The sequence below is a fragment of the Homo sapiens genome, chromosome 7 (assembly GCF_000001405.40).
Source record: "Homo sapiens chromosome 7, GRCh38.p14 Primary Assembly".
Classification (NCBI taxonomy): Eukaryota; Metazoa; Chordata; class Mammalia; order Primates; family Hominidae; genus Homo; species Homo sapiens.
This window is the reverse complement of record NC_000007.14, coordinates 68,954,737-68,964,658: the sequence shown is the minus strand read 5'-3', so window position 1 is coordinate 68,964,658 and position 9,922 is coordinate 68,954,737. Positions and strand designations below refer to the sequence as shown.

Here is a 9,922-nt window from a genome sequence, read left to right as displayed (position 1 = left end):
AATATTTAGGCAAATGGTCAATTATTGTATAAGGGGTTCAGGTTTGTGATAGAGGAAATAATAGAGAGAAGTGGTCGCACATAGTCACCTAAAGCAACAATGGTGGGGGGAGATTGCAGAAAATAGTGTTGGTTGTCAGCCCCAAACCATCACCTTTTCTAGTGGACTTAATTCTGTTTCTGTAATCCCTGCTTTGCTAATCCTATCACAGTAATCCTTCTCTTGCTAGTGATTGATTTAGGCATGGGTTTGTTACACAATGCTGGTCACTGAGAATTGAGAGAAAGTCCAATGAAGGATTCTGAGAAATGTTTCCTCACTCTTAAAGAGAGGCACACAGGGTGAAATAGAGCCTTTTCTTCCTTGGGAAACTGCTGTGACCACAAGTTTTGTCTAGACTTGTGGCAGCTATCCATGAACATTGCAGGAACTGATAAGACAGGCAGAGGATGATGGAGCAGAAAGATGGAAATACCATCTTTGACATTTTTGAGCAGCTAAATGTACCCACTGCAGAACCCTCTTGTCTTGAGACTTCCTCTTTTGTGAGATAATACATCTTTGCTATTCTTTAAACCAATTGAGTCAGGGTATAAGAGCCCTAGCTGTTGATAGCATGGTTGATTCCTGAAGGAGAAGTAGGAGATACTCAGGAGGTGAGAGTGACACTGTCCCTATAAACTTTATAAAATTAATCAGGGAAGAAGAGTAGGGGAGAAATGAAGATAAACCAAGCTTGCAGCACATTCAGGGTTCATCATGAGGTCACCTTGCTTGCTCTCCAACTTGCTTGCTCACAGCTGTTTGGCGCCTCTTGTCCTAGAATCACATAGACCCTGTCACGAGATTATGGTTCCCCTTAACTGCTTTGTGAAGTGTTAAGCTTTTCCTTTGAGATATTCTTTCAGGTTCTGCATACCAGTGAAGCTACCGACATCCACTGGTCTGAAGGATTCCAAGAGGAGCTGACTCACCAAAGAATGCAGTTTCCACATCTTGATGATTTTATCTCCCTTTCCCTGACCAGTCAATGACCCTAATTTTCCAGCCCCTTGCCCTCCAGGATCCCCTTATAAAATCCCAACCCAGTGAAACCCCGTCTCTACTAAAAATACAAAAATTAGCTGGGCATGGTGGCACATACCTGTAATTCCAGCTACTTGGGAGGCTGAGGCAGAGAATTGCTTGAACCTGGGAGGCAGAGGTTGCAGGGAGCTGAAATCATGCCACGGCACTCCAGCCTGGGCAACACAGCAAGACTCTGTCTCAAAAACAAACAAACAAACAAACAAAAAAACAAAAAAACAAAATCCCAACCCAGAACTCTTTGGAGAGACAGATTTGAGGGTTCCTCCTGTCTCCTCGCTTGGCTGCCCTGCAATCATTAAACTCTTTCTCTAATGCAAACTCTGCTGTCTCGGTGTATTCGTATGTCATTGCACAGCAGGCACACAAACCTGGCAATCCTACAACAAGAGGACAAGGGCATTCTAAGCAACTGACAGTGCATAGGCAAAGGCCCTGTGGTTTTTAAAAATAACCTGGCCCACTGAGGACACTGCAAAAATGCCCAATCTATGCAAAGAGTGGCAAACAATGAGCCTACAGAGAGAAACAGGATCCAGGTCATAGAAGGGATGGTATATTTGTAATAACGAGGTGACCTTTTTGAGAAAGTATAAAGGATCATGTACAGGTAAGGAGCTAGGTGACCAACAAGTCTCTTCCAGCACTGATGTTCATCTCCCTGTTGGGACCACTGCTTGGTTTGTGGGACTGCAAGAGGAACCCTTCACACTATAGTCCATGTGAGTGCCAGTCCCATGAGCATGAAGCATCCTTTTTCTGGCCAGGCAAGCATGTGAATAGTGCCCTCAGCATTCTGTACCCAGTGGACTTGGCTGATTCTGGAGAATCTGAGAGCCAGAGTGGTTCCTGCCATGGCCACTGTGGCTGGAAAGAACTACAGGGGCTGCCACATCTGCCCCAGTGGCCACTGTTTGTTAGTCTTGTCCTTTATACCAGCCAGTCCTCAGCCAACCCCAGAGAGAGTTCATTGAGGCTGGATTACCATCGAGCACCCTTTTAGCTCCCAAAGGCTCAATTCTTGCAATTTATTATGAACTAACAATAAATGTGCACACACCATTCCATGAAAATCCATAAAACGGTAAATTCTGTTTGCTTTTAACATTTCATTTGTTTATTATTTATTTATTTATTTTTTGAGACAGAGTATCGCTCTGTCACCCAGGCTGGAGTTCAGTGGTGCAATCTCGGCTCACTGCAAGCTCCACCTCCTGGGTTCATGCCATTCTCCTGCCTCAGCCTCCTGGGTAGCTGGGATTACAGGTGCCCACCACCACTCCTGGCTAATTTGTTTTTGTATTTTTAGCAGAGACAGGGCTTCACTGTGTTAGCCAGGATGGTCTTGATCTCCTGACCTTGTGATCCGCCCGCCTTGGCCTCCCAAAGTGCTGGGATTACAGGCATGAGCCACCGCACCTGGCCCATTTATTCATTTTTGAGATAGGGTCTCACTGTCACCCAGGCTGGAGTGTAGTGGTGTGATCATGGCTTACCGCAGCCTCTGCCTTCCTGGTTCAGGTGATCGTCTCACCTTGGCCTCCCGGGTAGCTGGGACTCCAGGCACATGCCACCACACCTGGCTAATTTTTTGTATGTTTTTGTAGAGATGGGGTTTTGTCATGTTGCCCAGGATGGTCTTGAACTTCTGGACTCAAACAATCTGCCCACCTCTGCCCTGCAAAGTGCTGGGATTATAGGCATAAACCACTGCACTGGGCCAAAAGGTAAATACTGCTTGCTTGTATAATGAAGCAATCATTCATCCTTGCAGAATACTCAGTATAAATAAGTTCATTGTTCTCAAGGAGGATCTCATCTTTTGGCCATGTTGTTTGAATTTGGGAAAAAAAATCAAAACGTTTTTTCATGTTCATATCTCTCTGTTTCTGCCTGTCTTCAGAAATGTGAAATCTACACTTGGCTTGTTAATAAGTGAGAGTCCAGTGGTGATTATCATGTTCTTATTTTGGAGATGTGTGTGAACGTGATGTGGTCAGTGCGGGTGCTGATGCCACACAGATAGGCCAGTTTTCATGAGCTACTTTTGTTCCCCAAGGGGAAAATGTAGGTGTTACTGAGATCACAAAGAATCCTCTTAGCCCAGGAATGGTGGCTCATGCCTGCAATTTCAGCACTTTGGGAGGCCAAGGTGGGAGGACTGCTTGAGCCCAGGAGTTTGAGACCAGCCTCGGCAAAATAGTGAGACCCTATCTGTACAAAAAATATAGCCAGGCAGGCTGGGCACGGTGGCTCACACCTGTCATCCCAGCACTTTGGGAGGCCAAGGTGGGCAGATCACCTGAGGTCGGGAGTTTGAGACCAGCCTGACCAACATGGAGAAACCCTGTCTCTACTAAAAATACAAAATTAGCCAGGCGTGGTGGTAGGCACCTGTAATCCCAGCTACTTGGGAGCCTGAGGCAGGAGATTCACTTGAACCTGGGAGGCGGAGGTTGCAGTGAGCTGAGAAAAGTGACATTGCACTCCAGCCTGGGCAAAAACGCGAAACTCCATCTCAAAAAAAAAAATATATATATATATATATATAGCCAGACATAGTAGTGCACAGCTGTAATCCCAGCTACTCTTGAGGCTGAGGTGGGAGGATCGCTTGAGCCCAGGAGTTTGAGTCTTTTTATTATTATTACTATTATTATTATTTTCTTCTAGGAGTTTGAGTCTTCAGTGAGCTATTATTGCACCACTGCACTCCAGCCTGGATGACACAGTGAGAACCTGTCTCAAAAAATAAAATAAAACGAAATAAAATAAAAAGTATCTTTAAAAGAAACACACAAAAAGCAAATGTATGTATTGATCAGCTGATGAAAATATTACAGCCAGAAGCTTGAGGGAACCTAACTCTGTACTTCTAGGAGCGATGGTTCAGTATTTGATAATTCAGGCTTTGCCGTGGCTTTATGGAATGGAATTTCTGTGAATAACAGGAATCGATGTATCTTCCTTGTGTTACTGATTTTACTGTAGATCTGTTCACTTGATGTGATCAGAAAATCATAGAATCTCAGAGTTTATAGGGAAATCCCTTTGTGAAGAGCTTGGATGCTTCTGCTGATGGGGTGCTCACAACCATAGAACATATCCCATCTTAGCTCTGATGACCAGAAAGCACTTTCTTATGCAGACCTGAAATATTTGCTCATTGTAACTGTGCTTGTACGTTTTTATTTTTATTTTTATTTGAGATGGGGTCTCACTCTGTCACCTAGGCTGGAGTGCAGTGGCACGATCTCAGCTCACTGCAACCTCCGCCTCCTGGGTTCAAGTGATTCTCCCACCTCAACCTCCCGAGTAGCTGGGATTACAGGCGTCCACTACCACACCCAGCTAATTTTGTTTGTACTTTTAGTAGAGACGAGGTTTCATCATGCCAGGCTGGTCTTGAACTTTGACCTTAGGTGATCCACCTGCCTCGGCCTCCCAAAGTGCTGGGATTACAGGCATGAGCCACCGCACCCAGCCGAAAATGTTTGTACATTCTAATCCTGCTCTCTGGGGCCTCACAGATTAAGTCTGCTTCCTTTCTTAATATATTGTTTTCTTTGAGTATTGAAGATGCTGATCTTATTCTTCTCCCCTCTGTCTTCCTTCTCTCCTAATTCTGTCTTCTTCCTCCTCCACCCCACCTTTCCTCTTCTGTATCCCAAAGAGTGGCATTTAATCACTACCCCTTTCTCTAGGTGAATCGTTTCCTCATCCATCCATCCATCCATCCATCCATCCATCCATCCTTCCTTCCTTCCTTCCTTCCTTTCCTTCCTTCCATCCTCTCTCTCTCTTTCTCTCTCTCTTTCTTTCTTTCTTTCTTTCTTTCTTTCTTTCTTTCTTTCTTTCTTTCTTTCTTTCTTTCTTTCTTTCTTTTTCTCTCTCTCTCTCTCTCTCTCTCTTTCTTTCTTTCTTTCTTTCTTTCTTTCTTTCTTTCTTTCTTTCTCTTTCTTTTTGAGACAGAGTCTTGCTCTGTCACCCGGCTGGAGTTCAGTGGTGCGATCTTGGCTCACTGCAACCTCTGCCTCCCGGGTTCAAGCAATTCTCCTGCCTCAGCCTCTGGAGTAGCTGAGATTACAGGCGCGGGCTACCACACTCGGCTAATTTTTTGTATTTTTTGTAGAGATGGGGTTTCACCATGTTGGTCAGGATGGTCTCGATCTCCTGACCTCGTAATCTGCCCGCCTCGGCCTCCCAAAGTGCTGGGATTACAGGCATGAGCCACCGCACCCGGCCCCTTTCCTGATTCTTTCAATCCTTCCTTATATAACATGAATTTGTCCATTGCCCACTGTTGGAAGATACAAAACACAACAACGTTTCTATCTCTGTTGTAGTGAAATATACTTTCCATTTCTATACAGTCTCACCCTACTGTAGTCTTTCCTACCTAAATGTGCTCCTGGATTTCATTTGCTAATTCATTTTAAGTTGGTCCCACTTAAACCAAACTCTTTTAAAATACATCTGTTTTAGAAGTGGGCCACCCAGACCCTTAGGGTGGAAGAACGATTGTGATAACACTCAAATTATCTGTGCTCTTAAGGGATCCGATGTGACATGTTTTTACAGCCTTCTCACATACATACCGTTATTGAGGCTGGGTCCCAATTAATGAGGTACTATTTATAATTTTCCTCGAAAGCAACTGTTCGTTTTAAAAATAGCTTTTTAAAAGAAGGATTGTATTACATTATGGGAATGAAATCTGTTAAAGAAGGCTGCCTTCTGCTGCAGAAGAAGTGAGGGGATTATTTAGAGTGGGTTGTGTGTGTGTCACTGGAGAGATTACTGAGCCTGGGGGAGCAGGGAGGATTAGGGAGGTTTGACATAGGACAGCAGATTAAAAGAATACTAAATATGTATTACAGGCTCTCTCTTATTTCACATGATATTTCAATGCTGTCTCCTCTGAATAATTCAGAACTAGAATCCAACCAATAGCTTACCTAGGAAGGTTTATGAATGGGGTGAAATAGAATTACAAGTTTTCATCCCACCAGGGACTGTGTCTTCTCATTCACAATCATCAGAATTTGTTCTTCCTGTTTAGAACAAGGAGAAAGAGCAGGAAGACTAAAACGGGGTTTGGGGGAATCTATTTATCAAGACTTTTTTTTTTTTTTTTTTTTTTGAGACGGAGTCTCACTCTGTCACCAGGCTGGAGTACAGTGGCACGATCTTGGCTCACTGCAACCTCCACCTCTGGGTTCAAGCGATTCTCCTGCCTCAGCCTCCCTAGTAGCAGGACTACAGGTGTGCGCCACCAAGCCCAGCTAATTTTTGTATTTTTAGTAGAGACGGGGTTTCACCATGTTAGCTAGGATGGTGTTGATCTCCTGACCTCGTGATCCTCCTGCCTCGGCCTCCCAAAATGCTGGGATTACAGGCATGAACCACTACACCTGGCCTTATCGAGCCTTTCAAAGGCACATACAAGCTGTCAAATAATTAGATCATGCCTCAAAACTAGCACTTGATTAGATTTTGCCTTATGATTTTGGTCTTTCTTTTCCTCTCTTTTTATTCACTAGGACTTAGGTAAGTCAGTCCTCAAATATATAGTAGTGGGTATTTCATATCCAGGGAACTAAAAACTGCACTTAACATGTAATTTCTGACTCCCTAGCTGCTTTGAGGACTGTGACGTCTCAAAACCGCCAGCACCATTTGTTACCTGTACTCCATGGGACAGTACCCTGTCAACCAGAGTAGGCGGATCCACCATGCACAAAAGCAAAATGAAATAAAACTGAAGAGCAACTGCTAGGCTGAATCAAAAAATAAAAAGAGGGCCAGGGCCGGGCGCAGTGGCTCATGCCTGTAATCCCAGCACTTTGGGAGGCCGAGGCAGGAGGATCACGAGGTCAGGAGATCAACACCATCCTAGCTAACATGGTGAAACCCCGTCTCTACTAAAAATACAAAAAAAAAAAAATTAGCCGGGCACGGTGGCGGGAGCCTGTAGTCCCAGCTACTCAGGAGGCTGAGGCAGGAGAATGGTGTGAACCTGGCAGGTGGAGCTTGCAGTAAGCCGAGATCACGCCACTGCACTCCAGCCTGGGTGACAGAGCGAGACTCCGTCTCAAAAAAAGAGGACTGGGCGCGGTAGCTCACACCTATAATCCCAGCACTGTGGGAGGCCGAGGCAGGCGGATCACCTGAGGTCAGGAGTTCGAGACAAGCCTGGTCAACGTGGTGAAACACCATCTCTACTAAAAACACAAAAATTAGCCGGGAGTGGTGGTACACGCCTGTAATCCCAGCTACTTGGGAGGCTGAGGCAGGAGAATTGCTTGAACCCGGGAGACGGAGGTTGCAATGAGCCAAGATCAGGCTATTGCACTCCAGCCTGGGTAACAGAGTGAGACTCCATCTCAAAAAAAATTATATAAAAAATAAAAAGAGGTCAAGCATAGATGCTCATGCCTATAATCCCAGCACTCTGGAAGGCCAAGGTGGGAAGATTGATTGAGGCTAGGAGTTCAAGACCAGCCTGGGCAACATAGTGAGACCCTATCTCTACAAAAAATAAAAAAATAGCCAGCTGTGGTGGCCCGCACCTGTAGTCCTGGCTACTCAGGAGGCCAAGGTGGAAGGATCACTTGAGCCCAGGAGTTCGAGGCTGCAGTTAGCCATGATTGCACCACTGCACTCCAGCCTGGGTGACACAGCAAGACCCTCTCTCTGACAAAAAAAAAAAAAGAACAGTTTTGAATCTACTGGTGAAAGTTGGAGTTAGTAGTATACCCAATTCTGATGTCTTCACTCTTGTCCTACGGATGACAAGCTCCTGTATTAATTCATTTCTTGATTCTTGGTTGATGGTTCAGTTTGTCCTTTTGACTTTCAGAACCATTTATTGGCATCATATCATTCCAAGTCCTTTAAAAAACTCTGTGTAGACTTAATTCTGTGGGTGGTTTCTGAGTCTGGGTGGAATCACATACGAGGTAATTGAAAGAAGTGAGGACATTGATGATTAACTGCTACTTAATGGAAGGACGACAGAGTTAGGAATGATTTACTGAAGTTAAATTTGCTTAATGATTGATTCACTTGATGATTTAGGTGTTTCTTTTTTATTTGTTGTTGTTTTCTTTTTGTTTGGGGGAAGATGAGGATAAGGAAAAAGCAGTTTGCACAGGGGAAAGCAGAAAAGCTTTTCTTTTAAAAATTATATCTGTTTATGGCTGGACACAGTGATTCACACCTGTAATCTTAGCAATTTGGGAGGCCAAGGCAGGAGGATTGCTTGAGGCCAGGAGTTCAAGACCAGCCTGGGCAACGTAGCAAGCAAGACCCCATCTCTGCAAAAAGTAAAAATAAAAATTAACTGAGGGCAGTGGTGGCACACACCTGTAGTCTCAGCTACTCAGGAGGCCGAGGGAAGAGAATCCCTTGAGTCCAGGAATTCGAGGCTGTAGCGAGCTATGATTGCACCACTGCACTCCAGCCTGGGCAAAAGAGTGAGACCCTATTTCTTAAAAGAAAATTGTATTATTCAATGGTCGTGAATCTGAACATTTTTGTTGTTCCAGGTAATGTGTTGTGAAAAGGTCTCTTTTGACTCATTTCAGATCCAAGCGTGTGCTTGTTCTGGGCCCAGTGTGTGACATGACAACCACTTTGTTACCCAGAATACTCATCTATGATGAAAATTTATGATTAGTTATAAGATTTTATTGGTCTTACATTCCAGCTTTGTCATGTAATTCACGACCTGTATTTCTGGATTATGTATACAACTGCTAACATTTATGAGGCTGGCTAATGAGTCTGCTCACCAGCCACAGGAGCTGCCCTCCTGTGAGTAGCTCCCTGATGGACTCACAGGCCTGTGTGTGTTTCCCGGCCCCTCCCTACCCAGTGGTGGTCAGCTTGGTGGCACAACAGACCCTGTATCTCATGGGCTCTTGTTGTTCTTCCCAGCACCTTCCTTGCAGCGAGCCTGCAGGACGAGTCTACAGTGTCTTGAGTAGATTTCAACCCATGGCTTGCTCCTCTGTTGGGTTTTTCTCCTCTCTCCCTCTCTCCCACCTCTTCTTCTCTCCCTCTCTCCCTGCCTTTCTTCCTCTCTCTCTCCCCACTTCTCTTTATCTCTTTCTCCCTTTCTCTCTTTCTTTCTCTCTCTCCATCCCCCTGCCTCTTCCCCTTTTCTCTGTCTCCTTTCACTTCTCATTTTCTCTTTCTCTCTCTCCTTCTCTCCCTCTCTTTCTCTCTCTCCATCTCTCTTTCTCCCTCTCCCTCCCCATCCCTCTGCCTCCCGCCCTCCCCCTCCCCTCCCTCTCCCCTCTTTCTCTCTGTCTCTCCCCCCTTCTCTCTCCCTTCTCCCTTTCTCTCTCCCTCTCTCTCTCTTCTTCTCTCCCCCTCATTCTCTCTCTCCCTCTCTCCTTCCCTTTCTTGTTTCTCTCTCTCCCCTCTCTTTCTCTTTCTGCTTCCTTCTCTTTCTCTCTCCCTTCTCCCCCTCCCTCTCTCTCTCCCCTTCTCTCCCTTCTCTCTCCCTCTCTTTCTCTCCCCCATCCCTCTGTCTCCCTGCTCTCTCTCTCCTTTCTTTCTCTCTCCTCTCTCCCTCTCCCTCTTTCACTTTCTCCCTTCCTCGCTTCTTTCTGTCTCCCTTTGTCTTTTTCTGTTCTTCTCTCCCTCTTTCTCTCTCTCTCCCCCTTGCTCTCTTTTTTTATCTCTCTCTCCCCCTCTTTCTCTTTTCCCCTCCTTCTCTTTCTCTCTCTCCTCTCCCTCCCACCCTCTCTTTCTCTCCTCTCTTCTCTCTCCCGTTCTCTTCCCACTTTCTTTTTCTTTCTCCCTCCTTTTCTTTCCCCCCCACTTC

General features: G+C 45.3%; 1 annotated feature.

Annotated features, from left to right (window-relative positions):
* Positions 266 to 1,465: an enhancer, noted in NCBI's record as "BRD4-independent group 4 enhancer chr7:68428181-68429380 (GRCh37/hg19 assembly coordinates)". NCBI's record gives its function as "activates an origin of replication core promoter dependent on BRD2, P300/CBP, MED14 and CDK7 cofactors, and independent of BRD4, by STARR-seq in HCT116 cells {active_cell/tissue: HCT116}" and the evidence as "EXISTENCE:reporter gene assay evidence [ECO:0000049][PMID:35650434]".